General features: G+C 42.7%; 1 protein-coding gene across 2 annotated transcripts in view, besides 2 other annotated features; it reads left to right on the top strand.

Moving 5' to 3' along the window:
* Nucleotides 4,008-5,087: a silencer, noted in NCBI's record as "silent region_4703". NCBI's record gives its function as "represses an Ori minimal core promoter by ATAC-STARR-seq in GM12878 lymphoblastoid cells {active_cell/tissue: GM12878}" and the evidence as "EXISTENCE:reporter gene assay evidence [ECO:0000049][PMID:35858748]".
* EEA1 (early endosome antigen 1) overlaps nt 4,477-20,161 on the top strand; it is a 158,659-nt gene continuing 142,974 nt past the window's right edge. For both annotated transcript variants that reach the window (NM_003566.4, XM_011538814.3), the window contains exon 1: nt 4,477-4,729. In NM_003566.4, coding sequence (NP_003557.3) covers nt 4,706-4,729 — 24 coding nt within the window. In that variant the 5' untranslated portion in view covers nt 4,477-4,705. The remainder of the gene's footprint in view (nt 4,730-20,161) is intronic.
* Nucleotides 6,188-6,317: an enhancer, noted in NCBI's record as "active region_6754". NCBI's record gives its function as "activates an Ori minimal core promoter by ATAC-STARR-seq in GM12878 lymphoblastoid cells {active_cell/tissue: GM12878}" and the evidence as "EXISTENCE:reporter gene assay evidence [ECO:0000049][PMID:35858748]".

Raw genomic sequence — 20,161 nt, 5'->3', positions numbered from 1 at the left:
TCTAGGAGGGCAGTGACATTTTTGATTTGCATTTTAAAAAGTCGTCCCTGGCTTCTGTGTAATGAATGGATTACAGAGAAGCCAAAGTAAAAGGCGGGAGACCAACTAGAAGACTATTCTAGTAGTCTTGACAGGAGATGAAGGGGCTATAAACTAGGGTGAAAGTGGCAAGAAGTGTCAGATTTGGGATATATTTTGGAGGTGGATTTGTCAGGATATCCTGATGGATTCGCTGGAAGGAGGAGAAGTGGTGAGATAAAGAGATTTTTGGTTTGAATCAACTAAGTATCTTGTAGTGATACATATGGAGACAGGAAAACTGGTGACGATGTTTTGAGGATAAAAATGAAACAGTTTTGTTTGGGCCATGTTACGTTTGATATGCTCACTAGACATCCAAGAAGAAATATGAAGTAGATGATTTTTTTTTTTTTTTGAGATGGAATCTCGCTCTATTGCCCAGGCTGGTGTGCAGTGGCACGATCTCGGCTCACCACAATCTCCGTCTCCTGGGGTCAAGCCATTCTCCTGCCTCAGCTTCCCCAGTAGCTGGGATTACAGATGTGCACCACCATGCCGGGCTAATTTTTGTATTTTGAGTACAGACAGGGTTTCACCATGTTGGCTAAGCTGGTTTTGAACTCCTGACCTCGTGATCCACCCACCTCGGCCTCCCAAAGTGCTGGGATTACAGGTGTGAGCCACCGTAGCTGGCCTGATAAATGAAATTAAAAGTCAGGGGACTAGTTGAGATTACTTCTAGGCTGAGTATGACAGATAAAAGCAAGGGCCCCAGAACAGAGTAGGGGCACTCCAACATTAAGATACGCAGTAGAGAAGCCATCAGACATAGAGGGAATGGGCAATGAGGAGAAAAACCAGAAAGTATAGTGTCAAGGAAGCCAAGAGAATAAAGTAACTCAAGGAGAGAGTGGCCAACTGTTTTCTATATAGGAAACAGTCGAAGTCGAAACAACAAAGTAGTCACTGGAATAGGAAACATGCAGGTCATTAGTGATCATAAGAACAGCCTTATTGGAGTCAGTGGGACACAGGCTACAGAGGCTTGATTGGAATGGGTCGAGAAGAAAATATACAGTAAGAAAGTGCAGCAACTATAGATGTGTAGGCCATCTTGAAGATCTTGAGAAAGAAGACAGAAATAAAGTGTAACAGGAATGCTGCTGGGCAACTGTTAAAGGAGTAATTACATACCTTTCATTCCTTCAATCCTTCCTTCATTCGTTCAACAAATATTTATTTAGTGCTTACCATGAATTGAGCAATGTTTTAGTTTTGGGGTCACAGCACTGAATGGGGGACAAGATCCTTGTGCTCAGAAAATTGATATTCTTGTTGTGGAGACATATGCCTGAGATCTGTGGTTATTAATGCAGAATGAGCCCAACAACCCCAGTTATATATGTGTATCTCTAGTGATATTTAGACACTTTCCTATTCATATATATATACGTATTAGATGAAGTCTCACTCTGTTGCCCAGGCTGGAGTGCAATGGCGTGATCTCAGCTCACTGCAACCTCCATCCACCTCCTGCCTTCAAGTGATTCTCGTGCCTCAGCCTCCCCAGTAGCTGGGACTACAGACGTGCGCCACCACGTCCGGCTAATTTTTGTATTTTCAGTAGAGACAGGGTTTCACCATGTTCACCAGACTGGTCTTGAACTCCTGACCTCAGGTGATCCACGCCCCTCACCTCCCAAAGTGCTGGGATTACAGGTGTGAGCCACTGTGCCCAGCCTTCTATTCCTATGGATCCTGTGCAGCAGAGAGTAGGTGGTTAATTGAACTTAACCAGGGTTTGGCCTCTGCTAGACAAAAGCAATGGAGGAAGAGAAAGGTGAAGAAGTGGCCGGGTATGGTGTCTCATGTTTGTAATCCTAGCATTTTGGGAGGCAGAGGTGGGTGGATTACCCGAGCTCAGGAGTTTGAGACCAGCCTGGGCAACATGGTGAAACCCCATCTCCACTAAAATACAAAAAATTAGCTGGGCATGGTGGTGGGTGCCTGTAGTCCCAGCTACTTGGGAGGCTGAGGCAGGAGAATTGCTTGAACCCAGGAGGCACAGATTGCAGTGAGATTGCACACTGCACTCCAGCCTGGGCGACAGACTACATCTAAAAAAAAAAAAAAAAAAAAAAAAAAAAAGAAAGGTGAAGAAGTTAAGCATATTTGCAAAGGGAAGATTGTAAAGTTGGACCATGGGCTTTAGGTTGGGTTTTGATGGAAACGAGTAGGCTAGGGAAATGACTGATATTAAGAAAGTAAGAAGGGCCAATGGATTTGAGGTCTTGCTGGGGATCAAAGTAAATAGATGGTGGGGGAATATTAATGCACAAGAGCTGAACGGATGGGAATTAGTGGTCAGACAGGGTAAGCAGAACTGCTATGTATAGGAAGCTGCTAGATTAGTGAAGGGTATTCTTACATGGTTAGCTCTCACCCACTGCTTATTTTCTTTTGGAGTAATTAAGTTCTCCAGTGTATTATCCCAGTGATGGAGTTATCATGAACTGTGCAGGGGAGTACACAGATTTTCCAATAATCCATCTAGCTCAGCTGTAGATGAGAGCCTATTATATTATTCAAAGGATTCTACATGAGAATTCCAGTAAAGAAGGTCTTAGCATGTAACATTAATAAGCAGTTTTAAACTTTTTTTTTTTTTTTTAAAGACAGGGTCTCATTTTGTCACCCAGGATGGAGTACAGTGGTGAGATCATAGCTCACTGCATTCTCAACCTCCCTGGGCTCAGGTGATCCTCTCACCTCAGCCTCCTGAGTAGCTAGGAACACAGGCGCATGCCACCACACCCAGCTAATATTTTTTTAGACGAGTTGTTGCCATGTTGTCCAGGTTGGTCTGAAACTCCTGAGCTCAAGCAATCTGTCTGCTTCCGTCTCCCGAAGTGCTGGGATTACAGGCATAAAATCAGTGTGCCTGACCCTAAACTAATTTTTGAAAAACAAACAAAAAAGAGAAAAAAAGTCACTTTTATCACCCCATGTCGCTGAGAATGTTTCCCATATTGTCTGAAAATAAAGCACCTCATGTTTAGAAAGATGGAAAAGTATGTTCTTTGTAAGTGCATTATCACTAGTGATTACTCATATATTAGCTGTAGGCATGACCGTGCTGCTGCACCATCGAGAGACACACACACACATAATAAAAAACCAAATATATTTGGGATAGAAATATCATATTACATTATATAATGCATTATACTTTACAAAACATTTTCCTATTCATTAACTGATTTGCAAATAATATTTAATTTTGTGCTGCTTTTCAAAAGATCTGGAAGTGCTTTCCAAAAAGCACTCCATTCATTGCTTCATAGGCTTCATTCAGTGGTCTGTTGGTTTTTTCTTTTTTTTTTTTTTTCCCTCCCAGCAAGGTTAGTTCCATTATTCCCTCTCCTTCCCTATTCAAGCAATATTAAAGGCTTCTCTTTTTCTACCAGGGTGTTAAGTTGAGCCTCTTGGCTGTGAATATTGGCAGAATGGTAGGACGCAGAAGCTGTGATTTCTCGAGTTAAATAATGACATCGTGCCTGGAGGTCAGTTCAAAGACCACGTCGTTTTGGCACGATATTTATCTGTGACCTCATTTTCTTCTTAATCTATAAAACAGAGGCGTTAATGACAATTTACTTCATAAATCGATTATCAGAATAGGACTTAAAATTCCTTAGGAGGTCAAGCACGGGCTTTAGAAAGTGCAACATGTGAACATCAGCCTATTAAAAATTGTTTTGATCTAGAAAAGACAACCTCAAACTTCTCTTGCCAATTCAAATTCCAGCTTCTTCCTACCCTTCTTTTCTAAATCTTTGCTTTCTCTTTGGCTGAAATTAGAAGCAGGAAGGGAGCAGGGAAAGGAAACCTGGGACTGGAAAAGGGCAGGGAAGCCCAACAGACCGGTTAAGCACGTCTGAGATTCTCTAGTCGGCTTCAACCCAGGGGCTAAGAGGCAGAGTCAGCGTTTCCAGCAGAAACTAGCATATAGCTCAGGCTCAATACCACGTCGAGTCAGGAGCCATCGCCGGAAGGGTCACACCGACACATTTTACAAAACAGCCTAAGGCGTCCCCTCCTCCCGCCTGGGTCAGGGAGGGACACCCCCAGGGGTCCTCGCCCGCCTCCCACTAGCGGGCACGCGGTCGTCGCGCGGGCGCGGCCCTCTGACGGAGCCCAGGCGTGCACTCCGCAGCCTCGGCGTCCCCCAGCTAGCCGGAAGAAGCTGCGGCGACAGCGTCCTGCCGCCTGTCTGTCACGCAGCCGCCCACGTTGCCACCGCTTCCGATTGGTCGCTGGCCTGGACCGGCCCCCTTCAGCCCCGCCTCCCGCGAATGGACAGGCGAGGGGCGGGCCCGCCACCGCCCCGCCCCCCGGCGGCCGCGGGCGGGCCCGCCCATCTGTCAGTTACGGGGGCTGCCCGGCGGGCGGGCTGGAGGCGCTCGCAGGCTGCCTAGTCGTTCGCTCGCTCTCTCTCGCGTGCTCCCTCTCGCCGCCTGTGGGGAAGTCGGGGCCGCCCGAGCGGCCGTCGCCACCGCCTCGCCCCGACCTCCTTCCCGGTCCCCTCCCGGCCCAGTCCCTCCCGCCCGCGCACCCCGAGTAGTGAGTGGCCCCGCGCAGGGTCTGGAGAGTCACCGCGGCGGCGCCGGGTGGTGGTTAAACCATGTTAAGGAGGATTTTACAGAGGGTAAGAGAGTGAAACCGTCTTTCTGGCAGCACGTGAGCGGGACAGCCGGAGCTCGGGGCCGCGGCGCGGGCGCCCCTCCTCAGCGCGGGCTCCTTCCTTCCCTAGGCCCCACAGCCCGGCAGGCGCTTAGGCCTCGGTCGCCCGGCCCGGGGGCGGGGAGGGCGGGTGGGGCCGGCGCGGCGGGGCGGCAGGCAGAGCCCTGGTGGCCCCGCGCGTCCAGGCCTGGCGCCCGCTCCGGCGCGGGGCTCCGTGTGTGCGAGCGGGCTGCGAGCTGGAGGGTGTGGTGCCGGCGCGTTCCTCCCGGGAACCCTGAGTGGGAGTGAAAATGGAGAGTTGGTGCCCGTGGGACGGGCCAGCCGCCGCCTGCCGGGCTGGAGAACGCCCCATGGGAGATTCGGGCGGCTTGCTTCGCCTTTCCCCACCCGCCGCACTCCCCGTGCCCCCCAATTTGACACGATGCGCACCTGCCACACACGGCCCTGCTTTCTCCTTTGGACCACAGTGGAGGGTGGTGTGGTGAGCCCCGGCCTAGCCTGGGCCCAGGCGTGGGACTGACACTGGCACAGTCAGCCGAGAAGGAAGATGTTACTCACTGTTGGAAACTTTTTTTTTAATTAAAAATATGTTTTCTGTGCAAGCCCCACTACCTTATTTTAGCTATCCAAGAATAAATCCGCAGTAAGCTTGATCAAGTGGTATATACACTTAGTTTCTGCCTGTGCTGTCTCTGAAATCTGGAAAACCTTGAGGATAGAAAGATTAGAGCATTAGAAAACTGTAGGTGTATCATTTAAGAATCAGTTACTAGAATAACATAATTCACATCTCTTTTCCTGTAAGAGTTATTGTACCTGTCAACTTAAATTTGTTTTTTTTTTTTGGTATAGCTTTTTTCTTTTCTTTTTGAGGCTGATAGGGTGTAACAAAATGTAAATGATTGAAAAGTAGGTGCCGAGCCTATTAGTTCTTTACCGAGGGAGTAGGATAACTAGTTCAAAGGACAAAAGAAATTAGTGAATTTGTAGGATTCAGCCGAGGAATGTGCGGAAGAGAGTTGAGTCATCCAGTAGATAGGAAGGGAGTGCTCTTGCTTCTGCCTAGCTTTCTCCTGAAAGAATGAAGTCATGTGAAACTTGGTCAGTTATTAGAGGGAGAAATAGTTAACTTCTTTATCTGACAACCTGTGTTGACATTTAATTGTATTTTGCAGTGTTTTGTGAATTTTGAAATCCCGGTAAGCGATGATTTTGGCAGTAACAAGGGCATGTCCTTTACTTTCCCCATCACTTCCTTAGTTCAGCAGTAAAGACATCTGTGCATGATTTACTTTCAGGCTTTAGGAGATTTTTCTTTTATCAGACCTGGAGGAACTGATTACCTCATGTTTCAGATTGTGTTTCTGTCATAGTTCTGCAAGTGAAAATTAGTTTGCCTGTGGTTTGCTTTGAAGTTTACAAATAAAAGTGTTTACTGGTTTAAGGGTAGCTCAGCTGTAGTTATAGATTGGTTTTCAGAAATATGGGATGCTTTCTAGTAATCTTGGTTTAAAGTTAAACATCGAGATTATATGAAGATCATTTTTAATGTTGGTGCATACCTATCAACTGTTAAAGAAGCTTCTGTTGAAACTACAAAAGTGAAATTGATTGTGGTTATTGCAGAGATGTGATATTGAATCATCACTTCTGAATAAGTCAGTTGACAACTGAGTTTCTTAACGTCGGCGCTATTGGCATTTGTGACTGGATAATTCTGCGTTGTGGGAGGCTGCCCTGTGCCTTGTAAGATGTTAGCAGCATCCCTGGCATCTACCCCCACTAGATGCCAGTAGCATTCCCCTATATCCCTTCCCCCTTGTGACAACCAAAAATAGCTCCAGATTTTACCAAATGTCCCCTAGGGGCAAAATTGCCTCTGGTTGAGAATCACTGTGTTAAATGCATTAACTCTTTAGTAGGAAAGTTTGAAGTGTTTCTCACAGTTAAGTACTTAATTTTCTTTTATTCAGTGTATTTATATTGAGTTTCAGTAAATGCCAGGCTTCATGCTAAGGGGTAGGAAACAGTTGATTAAGCTGTGGGTCCTCCCTTTAGAACTCACAGGCTGTTTGGGAGGTGAACATTTAAAAGTAATGACAGTGCTATGTAATAGAATAATGAAGAGGACAGAGGACCCAGGAGGCACTCTGTGGGAGGTGAGGGCAATTAGGAAAAGCTTCAGGGACGGGGGCATATTCACAGCTCAGAAGAGGGAAGGGCATGTCAGGCAGAGGGAACAGCAAATGCAAAGAGATGGAGTCATAAAAGGCGCAGGTAGTACTGTGAGGAGTGTGAACAATGAAGCTTAGGAAGTGAGATGGTCTGTAGCAATTAGTAAGAGATGAAGCTACCGTGGTGGCTAGAGACCAAATTGTGAGAGGACGTAAGAGTCCCTTTGAAGGAGTTCAGCTTTTATCTTGTAGTTGGGTCAGTGTTAATGCTGAGTATTTAATAGGGACATTTTGATAAATGTCTTAAATCTGGTGATTTACTAGTTTAGAAGGTAGAATATATATTTTATTAACTCTACAAGTGGTATTTACCAACAAGTATAACTTGAATCTTTAAATTGTGTAACATGGCAACCTATTTTACCCCTCCCTGCTAATCTTATTTCTCAGCACAGATATTAAGCTATAAGATTAAAGCTATTGTTAATTTAGAGATTTATTTGAAATGGACTCTGTGCTTTGAAATTATGTGGCATTCCTTGGCTGGGTGCAGTGGCTCATTCCTGTAATCCCAGCACTTTGGGAGGCCGAGACGGGCGGATCACCTGAGGTCGGGAGTTCGAGACCAGCCTGACCAACATGGAGAAACCCTGACTCTACTAAAAATACAAAATTAGCCGGGAGTGGTGGTGCATGCCTATAATCCCAGCGACTCAGGAGGCTGAGGTAGGAGAATCACTTGAACCCGGGAGGTGGAGATTGCAGTGAGCTGAGATTGCTCCATTGCACTCCAGCCTGAGCAACAAGACCGGAACTCCGTCTAAAAAAAAAAAAAAAATTATGTGGCATTCCTTTAGCATTTTGTTTTTAGATGAACTTTTCATTTTAACTATTCTTATTTTCTTCTGAATAGTTTCCTTTAAATAGCATTTTTTAAAAGAAGAAACAGACAAACTGCTTACCATCAATTAGAACTCAAAGTGTTTGAACATCATCAATAAGTCTCAGGATACTTTACGGAAATTTGGTTTCTGGTTCTCCTGCTTTTGTCCCTCCTCCTGCTCCTCCTTTTTCATTAGCTTACTAAGGTGTTTCTCTGAGGCTTGAAAGAAGCTGGAAAACAAAAACAAAAAAACCTCAAAACAAAACCAAAGTGAAGTAGCTCCAATATGTATGTATTGAATATTTTACTTAATAGTCCTTCAAAGAAAAACATGAATTTAAAGTACTTGATGGTTAGAAATTTAATCAACGTTTAGTACCTTAGGCAGCTTGTAAACCTTGTTGCCATTTCTTTCTTAAGTATTATAACTTACTGTGGGCTGGCTTAGTGGCTCATGCCTGTAATTCCATCACTTTGGGAAGCCGAGGCGTGCAGATCACTGAGATCAGGAGTTCGAGACCAGCTTGGTCAATGTGGTGAAACCCCGTCACTACCAAAAAATACAAAAATTAGCCGGGCATCGTGGTGCACGCCTGTAGTCCCAACTACTTGGGAGACTGAGGTGGGAGAATTGCTTGAACCTGGGAGGCAGAGGTTGCAGTGAGCCAAGATCGTGCCACTGCACTCCAGCAACAGAGTGAGACCCTGTGTTAAAAACAAAACAAAACAAAACAAAAAAACTGTGATTAGTGTTTTTTTTTTTTTTTTTGAGACATCTTTTGTGGGCCAACTGTGTGCTGTGCAGACAATGATGGGTAAAGTAGTCATGAATTTTTTGTGGAGTTTAGCGTCCAGTGGAAGAGAGAGGAATTGTTCAGAGATTCATACAACTATACTCTTGAATGAGTTCTAGGAAGGACAAACTCAGGATGCCCCAAGAACACCCAGCAAGAGGGCCCTGGTTTTAGATGTTGGGAAGGCTTCCCAGATTAGTTGCCCATCTAAGTTTGATGAAAGTATTGCTAATTTATTGAAGTGAATTTTAAAAAGTGACAGCTAATGGAATGATTTTCTTTTTGAGTAGTTTTTTTTTTTTTTTTTTTTTTTTTTAGCATGTTAGGAATAAAGAAGAGATTAAGATATTAAAGAACCAGGACTAGAACTAAGAATAAAGAAGACGTTAAGAAATGAAAAGAACCAGGGCTAGTACTCAATTTTCTTCTCTAATTCCAGTGGCCTTTTGCTTGAGCTAAAGAAATAATGTAATTTAGTAGTTAAGAACATGAACTCTGATGCCAGACTACCTGGGTTTGTATCCTGTTTCATTTACTATCTGTGTAGTTTTGGAGAAGTTACTTCTCTGTGTCTCAGTAAAATAGTTGTAATAATACTAGCCTCCTTATAAAGTTGAGAACTAGATAACTAATATGTATAAAAGTCTCAGCCAGGCGCGGTGGCTCATGCCTGTAATCCCAGCACTTTGGGAGGCTGAGGTGGGTGGATCACCTGAGGTCAGGAGTTTGAGACCAGCCTGGCCAACATAGTGAAACCCCGTCTCTACTAAAAATAGAAAAAATTAGCTGGGCGTGGTGGCGGGCACCTGTAATCCCAGCTATTAGGGAAGCTGAGGCAGGGGAACTGCTTGAACCTGGGAGGCTGAGATTGCAGTGAGCCGAGATTGTGCCATTGCACTCTCCAGCCTGGGCAACAAGCAAAACTCCATCCCAAAAAAAAAAAAAAAAAAAAAAAGTCTTAAATGTTAGCTGCTGCTAATGTTGGTGTTTTGTTGTTGTTTTTGGTGTTTAACTTTCTTTTCTTATTTTTTTCTTTTTTGAAACAGGGTCTTGCTCTGTCAGCCAGGATGGAGTGCAGTGACACAGTGACACCGTCACGTTCACTGCAGCCCCTGCCTCCTGGGCTCAAGTGGCCCTCCTGCCTCAGCCTCAGGAATAGCTGGGATTATAGGTGTGAACTACCACACCTGGCTGATTTTTTTAAAATGGTGTTTCAGTGTTATTATAATTATAAACTCCAAATTTCTTTAAGGAACACTTTTCTTATCACTTCCTTTATTTTTCTAATCTCCATTTTTTTTTTTTTTTTTTGTAGATGAGGTAGATGAGGACTTAGAACATAGGTACATTCATTTTATGTACTACCGAATATTTATTTTGTGCTAACTACTGTGCAAAACACTCTTGAGAGTAAAAAAAAAACCTGCTGAGTTTTAATGGAGGAGACAGATAAATAATTACAAAACAATGTGATAAGTGTAATAGATACACAGAGGAAAAGTTTGTAAGCACAAAAGAAAAAGTAACTATGTGGTGGAGAGGGGGTGTGGTAGGGGAGGGCAAGGAATAGAGATTGTGGAAGTCTTTGCAGAGGATGGCAGTGACTCAGGCAAGGAGGGAAAAAGGACAGAAGGGCATTTTAGAGATAGGAACCAGACAAATCCAAGAGCATGATATAGTTTAGTATAGAGTAGGGGGATTGTGCGTATTTCTGGATGTGGATGGGATGTTTGCAACAGGTAGCTTGAAGGGTTTTGGACCTTATACTGTAGACAGTAAGGAGCCACAGAAAATTTTTTTTTTTGTTTTGAGACGGAGTCTCGCTCTGTCGCCCAGGCTGGAGTGCAGTGGCGCAATCTCGGCTCACTACAAGCTCCGCCTCCCGGGTTCACGCCATTCTCCTGCCTCAGCCTCCCGAGTAGCTGGGACTACAGGCGCCCACCACCGTGCCTGGCTAATTTTTTTGTATTTTTAGTAGAGACAGGGTTTCACTGTGTTAGCCAGGATGGTCTCGATCTCCTGACCTCGTGATCTGCCTGCCTCAGCCTCCCAAAGTGCTGGGATTACAGGCGTGAGCCACCGCGCCCGGCCAGAGAATTTTAAAGTTATCAAATCTGTAATAAGGAAAAACCCTCCAAAAATATTTCTCCCAGGTAATCTTTATTTTATTTTATTTTATTTTATTTTATTTTATTTTTGAGGTGGAGTTTTGCTCTTGTTGGCCAGGCTGAAGTGTAATGGTGCAATCTCAGCTCACTGCAACCTCTGCCTCCCGGGTTCAAGCAATTCTCCTGCCTCAGCCTCCTGAGTAGCTGGGATTACAGGTGCCCGCCACCACTCCCAGCTAATTTTTTTTTTGTATTTTTAGTAGAGATGGGGTTTCACTATGTTGGCCAGGCTGGTCTCAAACTCCTGACCTCAGGCGATCCGCCCGCCTCGGCTTCCCAAAGTGCTGGGATTACAGGCGTGAGCCACCGCACCCCGCCAGGGTAGAGATTTTGTTGTCTTTCTTTGTTATGTTTAGGTCTAACGTGGTGCTTGATGCCTGGTGGTTTTTCAGTAGTATATATTGACTACTTGTTGGCCCTGTAGAGAGGATGACTTCATTAGGGAGAGATCAGCTAGAAAGTTGTTGTCGTTCTTAAAATCGTTGCATATTGGAGTCATTTGGAATTCTTAAAAACAAACCAGATTTTTGAGTTTCTCAATTGAATCAGAATTTCTGGACCTCTGGCCCTCAGTCTAGGGATAACGAAAGTTTGAATTCAGGCAGCAGTTTTGGGGATGGAGAAAGAATAAATTGATTTTCAATAAGAGGGATAGAATTGCTAGAACTTGTTGACTTGTGAGTAGTTTGGGTAGCTGTGAGGGTGGTGGAATAGATGTAAGATTAAGGGTAGAGGAGGAAGAAAATGTTGGGGAAGAAGATAAATGTGAACTAGAGGTCTGGACTTCCCAAGTGGAGATGTTCAGTAGGCAGGAGAAAATACAGGTCCAGCACTCAGAAGACAAGTAGAGGCCAGGTGTTGGGTATGTGTAAATGTTGAAGAGAAGTTGAGTCAAATAAGGACTGAGAAGTGGCCGCTGAATGTGACAATTGGGTCATACCTATTTCAGTTTCAAGAGAGTCACAGGGGGAAATGAATGACTAGGAAGTAAGGGAATAGAAACAGGGAGTACAGACTACATGGAAATTATTGAAATATTAAATGCATTAATGTAATCTGTCATTCTCTGACCATCTTCTAATAGCTTTCTTTTCTTTTTTTCTTTTTTTTTTTTTTTTTTTTGAGACAGAGTCTTGCTCTGTCGCCAGGCTGGAGTACAGTGGTGTGATCTCGGCTCACTGCAACCTCTGCCTCCTGGATTCAAGCGATTCTTTTTTTTTTTTTTTTTTCTTTTTTTTTATTATACTTTAAGTTTTAGGGTACATGTGCAAAATGTGCAGGTTAGTTACATATGTATACATGTGCCATGCTGGTGCGCTGCACCCACTAACTCGTCATCTAGCATTAGGTATATCTCCCAATGCTATCCCTCCCCCCTCCCCCAACCCCACCACAGTCCCCAGAGTGTGATATTCCCCTTCCTGTGTCCATGTGATCTCATTGTTCAATTCCCACCTATGAGTGAGAATATGCGGTGTTTGGTTTTTTGTTCTTGTGATAGTTTACTGAGAATGATGATTTCCAATTTCATCCATGTCCCTACAAAGGATATGAACTCATCATTTTTTATGGCTGCATAGTATTCCATGGTGTATATGTGCCACATTTTCTTAATCCAGTCTATCATTGTTGGACATTTGGGTTGGTTCCAAGTCTTTGCTATTGTGAATAGTGCCGCAATAAACATACGTGTGCATGTGTCTTTATAGCAGCATGATTTATAGTCATTTGGGTATATACCCAGTAATGGGATGGCTGGGTCAAATGGTATTTCTAGTTCTAGATCCCTGAGGAATCGCCACACTGACTTCCACAATGGTTGAACTAGTTTACAGTCCCACCAACAATGTAAAAGTGTTCCTATTTCTCCACATCCTCTCCAGCACCTCTCGTTTCCTGACTTTTTAATGATCGCCATTCTAACTGGTGTGAGATGGTATCTCATTGTGGTTTTGATTTGCATTTCTCTGATGGCCAGTGATGATGAGCATTTTTTCATGTGTTTTTTGGCTGCATAAATGTCTTCTTTTGAGAAGTGTTTGTTCATGTCCTTCGCCCACTTTTTGATGGGGTTGTTTGTTTTTTTCTTGTAAATTTGGTTGAGTTCATTGTAGATTCTGGATATTAGCCCTTTGTCAGATGAGTAGGTTGCGAAAATTTTCTCCCATTTTGTAGGTTGCCTGTTCACTCTGATGGTAGTTTCTTTTGCTGTGCAGAAGCTCTTGAGTTTAATTAGATCCCATTTGTCAATTTTGTCTTTTGTTGCCATTGCTTTTGGTGTTTTGGATATGAAGTCCTTGCCCATGCCTATGTCCTGAATGGTAATGCCTAGGTTTTCTTCTAGGGTTTTTATGGTTTTAGGTCTAACGTTTAAATCTTTAATCCATCTTGAATTGATTTTTGTATAAGGTGTAAGGAAGGGATCCAGTTTCAGCTTTCTACATATGGCTAGCCAGTTTTCCCAGCACCATTTATTAAATAGGGAATCCTTTCCCCATTTCTTGTTTTTCTCAGGTTTGTCAAAGATCAGACAGTTGTAGGTATGCGGCGTTATTTCTGAGGGCTCTGTTCTGTTCCATTTATCTATATCTCTGTTTTGGTACCAGTACCATGCTGTTTTGGTTACTGTAGCCTTGTAGTAAAGTTTGAAGTCAGATAGTGTGATGCCTCCAGCTTTGTTCTTTTGGCTTAGGATTGACTTGGCGATGCGGGCTCTTTTTTGGTTCCATATGAACTTTAAAGTAGTTTTTTCCAATTCTGTGAAGAAAGTCATTGGTAGCTTGATGGGGATGGCATTGAATCTGTAAATTACCTTGGGCAGTATGGCCATTTTCACAATATTGATTCTTCCTACCCATGAGCATGGAATGTTCTTCCATTTGTTTGTATCCTCTTTTATTTCCTTGAGCAGTGGTTTGTAGTTCTCCTTGAAGAGGTCCTTCACATCCCTTGTAAGTTGGATTCCTAGGTATTTTATTCTCTTTGAAGCAATTGTGAATGGGAGTTCACTCATGATTTGGCTCTCTGTTTGTCTTTTGTTGGTGTATAAGAATGCTTGTGATTTTTGTACATTGATTTTGTATCCTGAGACTTTGCTGAAGTTGCTTATCAGCTTAAGGAGATTTTGGGCTGAGACAATGGGGTTTTCTAGATATACAATCATGTCATCTGCAAACAGGGACAATTTGACTTCCTCTTTTCCTAATTGAATACCCTTTATTTCCTTCTCCTGCCTAATTGCCCTGGCCAGAACTTCCAACACTATGTTGAATAGGAGTGGTGAGAGAGGGCATCCCTGTCTTGTGCCAGTTTTCAAAGGGAATGCTTCCAGTTTTTGCCCATTCAGTATGATATTGGCTGTGGGTTTGTCATATATAGCTCTTATTATTTTGAAATACGTCCCATCAATAGCTAATTTATTGAGAGTTTTTAGCATGAAGGGTTGTTGAATTTTGTCAAAGGCTTTTTCTGCATCTATTGAGATAATCATGTGGTTTTTGTCTTTGGTTCTGTTTATATGCTGGATTACATTTATTGATTTGCGTATATTGAACCAGCCTTGCATCCCAGGGATGAAGCCCACTTGATCATGGTGGATAAGCTTTTTGATGTGCTGCTGGATTCAGTTTGCCAGTATTTTATTGAGGATTTTTGCATCAATGTTCATCAAGGATATTGGTCTAAAATTCTCTTTTTTGGTTGTGTCTCTGCCCAGCTTTGGTATCAGGATGATGCTGGCCTCATAAAATGAGTTAGGGAGGATTCCCTCTTTTTCTATTGATTGGAATAGTTTCAGAAGGAATGGTACCAGTTCCTCCTTGTACCTCTGGTAGAATTTGGCTGTGAATCCATCTGGTCCTGGACCCTTTTTGGTTGGTAAGCTATTGATTATTGCCACAATTTCAGATCCTGTTATTGGTCTATTCAGAGATTCAACTTCTTCCTGGTTTAGTCTTGGGAGAGTGTATGTGTCGAGGAATTTATCCATTTCTTCTAGATTTTCTAGTTTATTTGCGTAGAGGTGTTTGTAGTATTCTCTGATGGTAGTTTGTATTTCTGTGGGATCGGTGGTGATATCCCCTTTATCATTTTTCATTGTGTCTATTTGATTCTTCTCTCTTTTTTTCTTTATTAGTCTTGCTAGCGGTCTATCAATTTTGTTGATCCTTTCAAAAAACCAGCTCCTGGATTCATTGATTTTTTGAAGGGTTTTTTGTGTCTCTATTTCCTTCAGTTCTGCTCTGATTTTAGTTATTTCTTGCCTTCTGCTAGCTTTTGAATGTCTTTGCTCTTGCTTTTCTAGTTCTTTTAATTGTGATGTTAGGGTGTCAATTTTGGATCTTTCCTGCTTTCTCTTGTGGGCATTTAGTGCTATAAATTTCCCTCTACACACTGCTTTGAATGCGTCCCAGAGATTCTGGTATGTTGTGTCTTTGTTCTCGTTGGTTTCAAAGAACATGTTTATTTCTGCCTTCATTTCGTTATGTACCCAGTAGTCATTCAGGAGCAGGTTGTTCAGTTTCCATGTAGTTGAGCGGCTTTGAGTGAGATTCTTAATCCTGAGTTCTAGTTTCATTGCACTGTGGTCTGAGAGATAGTTTGTTATAATTTCTGTTCTTTTACATTTGCTGAGGAGAGCTTTACTTCCAACTATGTGGTCAATTTTGGAATAGGTGTGGTGTGGTGCTGAAAAAAATGTATATTCTGTTGATTTGGGGTGGAGAGTTCTGTAGATGTCTATTAGGTCCGCTTGGTGCAGAGCTGAGTTCAATTCCTGGGTATCCTTGTTGACTTTCTGTCTCGTTGATCTGTCTAATGTTGACAGTGGGGTGTTAAAGTCTCCCATTATTATTGTGTGGGAGTCTAAGTCTCTTTGTAGGTCACTCAGGACTTGCTTTATGAATCTGGGTGCTCCTGTATTGGGTGCATATATATTTAGGATAGTTAGCTCTTCTTGTTGAATTGATCCCTTTACCATTATGTAATGGCCTTCTTTGTCTCTTTTGATCTTTGTTGGTTTAAAGTCTGTTTTATCAGAGACTAGGATTGCAACCCCTGCCTTTTTTTGTTTTCCATTTGCTTGGTAGATCTTCCTCCATCCTTTTATTTTGAGCCTATGTGTGTCTCTGCACGTGAGATGGGTTTCCTGAATACAGCACACTGATGGGTCTTGACTCTTTATCCAATTTGCCAGTCTGTGTCTTTTAATTGGAGCATTTAGTCCATTTACATTTAAAGTTAATATTGTTATGTGTGAATTTGATCCTGTCATTATGATGTTAGCTGGTGATTTTGCTCGTTAGTTGATGCAGTTTCTTCCTAGTCTCGATGGTCTTTACATTTTGGCATGATTTTGCAATGGCTGGTACTGGTTGTTCCTTTCCATGTTTAGCGCTTCCTTCAGGAGCTCTTTTAGGGCAGGTCTGGTGGTGACAAAATCTCTCAGCATTTGCTTGTCTGTAAAGTATTTTATTTCTCCTTCACTTATGAAGCTTAGCTTGGCTGGATATGAAATTTTGGGTTGAAAATTCTTTTCTTTAAGAATGTTGAATATTGGCCCCCACTCTCTTCTGGCTTGTAGGGTTTCTGCCGAGAGATCCGCTGTTAGTCTGATGGGCTTCCCTTTGAGGATAACCCGACCTTTCTCTCTGGCTGACCTTAACATTTTTTCCTTCATTTCAACTTTGGTGAATCTGACAATTATGTGTCTTGGAGTTGCTCTTCTCGAGGAGTATCTTTGTGGCGTTCTCTGTATTTCCTGAATCTGAACGTTGGCCTGCCTTGCTAGATTGGGGAAGTTCTCCTGGATAATATCCTGCAGAGTGTTTTCCAACTTGGTTCCATTCTCCCCATCACTTTCAGGTACACCAATCAGATGTAGATTTGGTCTTTTCACATAGTCCCATATTTCTTGGAGGCTTTGCTCATTTCTTTTTATTCTTTTTTCTCTAAACTTCCCTTCTCACTTCATTTCATTCATTTCATCTTCCATTGCTGACACCCTTTCTTCCAGTTGATCGCGTCGGCTCCTGAGGCTTCTGCGTTCTTCACGTAGTTCTCGAGCCTTGGTTTTCAGCTCCATCAGCTCCTTTAAGCACTTCTCTGTATTGGTTATTCTAGTTATACATTCTTCTAAATTTTTTTCAAAGTTTTCAACTTCTTTGCCTTTGGTTTGAATGTCCTCCCGTAGCTCAGAGTAATTTGATCGTCTGAAGCCTTCTTCTCTCAGCTCGTCAAAGTCATTCTCCATCCAGCTTTGTTCTGTTGCTGGTGAGGAGCTGCGTTCCTTTGGAGGAGGAGAGGCGCTCTGATTTTTAGAGCTTCCAGTTTTTCTGTTCTGTTTTTTCCCCATCTTTGTGGTTTTATCTACTTTTGGTCTTTGATGATGGCTCACTGCAACCTCCGCCTCCCAGGTTCAAGCGATTATTCTGCCTCAGCCTCCCCAGTAGCTGGGATTACAGGTGTGTGGTACTGCGCCCAGCTAATTTTTGTATTTTTAGTAGAGACGGGGTTTCACTATTTCGATCAGGCTGGTCTTGAACTCCTGACCTCATGATCTGCCCACCTCAGCCACCCAAAGTGCTGGGATTACAGGCATGAGCCACCGCGCCCGGCCCAGATTTTTAAGTTTGTTTCACAGTCCATGATTTTGAGCATGATCCACAGATCTCTGTTCAAGAAATTTTATTGTCAGTACCTTTCCCTGTTCCCTTAAGTGAGTTTAAGACTTAAATAAAATGAAAAGTGGCTTCTTCTTTAAAGCAGACTGTTAACCCTTATTTTGGTATGTTTTTGTAGCTGTCTATTCATATTTGATGAATCAAAACACCCTATACTTTAAACTTGCCTAACATATGTAGGTCAATTTTAATCATATGGTGGGTATTTTTAAAACTTTTATTATTTCACTTAATAATACTTATATTCACTTAATATTTCACTTAATATTAAGTTAATTGTATGATATATGTAAACTCAATTTAGGTACTAGGAACTTATCTATAATGAGTTCTGATAGTCTCAGTCTCTTACTGACTTGGCTGCTTGTGAGAGACAAATTATTTTCATGTAACTAATAACTTAAGTTTTAGAATTTTAAATATGACCATAAGAAAACTAAGCATATACAGATACTGGAAATATGTTTGACATCCTTTTAGGTCAGCCAATTTATGGCTCCAAATCAATCATAGAATGAGAATTTTGGAGTTGGAAGATCCTGTGAATTCATCCTGTCCTTAGAGTTTATCAATGAAGAAATTGAGATTAGAAAAGTTAGGCTTAATTGTTATCAGAGAGATGAACAAGAAACATTTTGAGATTGTAGGGAAAATATCAGTTGAGATCCCAGAAACCTAAGTGTTAATTGCAACTCTACCATTAGATAGCAGAGCGTTGTCAGGCAAGCCAGCTATTCTTTCTTTTAGTTTCTTCATGTATGAAGTCACTGCAATTGGACCAAATGATTTCTGAGTACCTTCCAGCTTTTTTTGTTTTTGTTTTGTTTTGTTTTGTTTTTAAGACAGGTTCTTGCCCTGTTGTCCAGGCTAGAGTGCAAGTAGCATGATCACGGCTCACTGCAACCTCAGCCTTTCCAGGCTTAAGCAGTCCTCCTGGCTTAGCCTCCCTAGTAGCTGGGATTACAGGCCCACACCAGCACACCTGGCTACTTTTTTGTATTTTTTGTAGAGACGGGGTCTCACTTTGTTATCCAGGCTAGTCTTGAACTCCTTGGCTCAAGTGATGCTCTCACCTTGGCATCCCAAAGTGCTGGGATTACATGCACAAACCACTGTGCCTGGACAGCTTTTAAATTTTGATTCTAGGTCTTTTTTGTGTAGAGAGATGTACTTAATAATAATATGTGTCTATTTATAGTGTATCTACCATAATGCCAGACACTAATTTAAACATTTTATATTTATTATTTAATCTTTGCAACAATTCTGTGAGGCTGACATTATTAGTTTCACTTTACAAATGGGAATTTCATGCTTAGAGAAGTTAAGTAAATTTACAAAGCTTGGCCAGGTGCGGTGGCTCACACCTATAATCCCAGCACTTTGGGAAGCCGAGGCAGGTGGATCACCTGAGGTCAAGAGTTCAAGACCAGCCTGGCCAATGTGGCAAAACCCCATCTGTACTGAAAAGACAAAAATTAGTTGGTCGTGGGGATGCACGCCTTTTCTTCCAGTTACTTGGGAGGCTGAAGTGGGAGAGTTGCTCGAACTCTGGAGGTGGAGGTTGCAGTGAGCTGAGCTCACATCACTGCACTCCAGCCTGGGTTACAGAGCGAGACTCCTTCTCAAAAAAAAAAAAAAAATTGTAGAGACAAGGTCTTGTTATGTTGCCCAGGGGATGGTCTTAAACTCTTGGCCTCAAGTGATTCTCTCACATCAGCCTCCAAAGTGCTGGGATTACAGGTGTGAGCCAGTGTACCCAGCCTCAATGCAATTTCTGTCAGATTACCAACATTGTTTTTCATAGAATTAGAAAAAACAATTCTAAAATTCGTGTGGAACCAAAAAAGAGAGCGAATAACCAAAGCAATCCTAAGCAGAACAAAGTGGGAGGCATCAGATTACCTGACTTCACGTTATGCTACAAGGCTACAGTAAACATGGTACTGGTATAAAAATAGTCACAGGTCAATGGAACAGAAGAGAGAACCCAGAAATAAAGCCACATACTTATACTAATTGATATTCGATGAAGTTGACAAAAATATGCACTGTGGTTTCTGATTATGGGCCTGGGATCTGAGTGCAGGGCTAGAGGCAAGCAAAGGCAGGGGCAGAGGCCATGGGGGCATGGGCTGGTGGGTGAGTGGTAAGGGGAGACCTGAGGGTGTGGTGGGGGTAGGGAAATGCAGCGGGGAAAGGATACTTTATTCAATAAATAGAAAAAGGATACTTTATTCAATAAATAGAAAATTAGCCATATGCAGAAGAATGAAGCTGGACCCATATTGTTCACCATATACGAAAGATAACTCAAATTAACTGAAGGATTAAAGACTTAGATGTAAGACCTCAAACTAGGCCAAGTGTGATGGCTCCCAGCACTTTGGGAGGCCTAGGCGGGCGGATCACCTGAGGTCATGAGTTGAAGACCAGCCTGGCCAACATAGTGAAACCATGTCTCTACTAAAAAGACAAAAATTAGTCAGATGTGGTGGCACATGCCTGTAATCCCAGCTACTTGGGAGGCTGAGGCAGGAGAATTGCTTTAGCCTGGGAGGTGGAGGTTGCAGTGAGCTGACATCGCGCCACTGCACTCCAGCCCGGGTGACAGAGCAAGACTCTGCCTCAAAAACAAACTAACAAACAAACAAAAAACCTGGAAGTAAAAACCCTGGAAGAAAACCTAGGAAAATCT

This window comes from Homo sapiens, chromosome 12 (genome assembly GCF_000001405.40).
Source record: "Homo sapiens chromosome 12, GRCh38.p14 Primary Assembly".
Taxonomy (NCBI): domain Eukaryota; kingdom Metazoa; phylum Chordata; class Mammalia; order Primates; family Hominidae; genus Homo; species Homo sapiens.
This window is presented reverse-complemented; position numbering and strand designations above follow the sequence as displayed.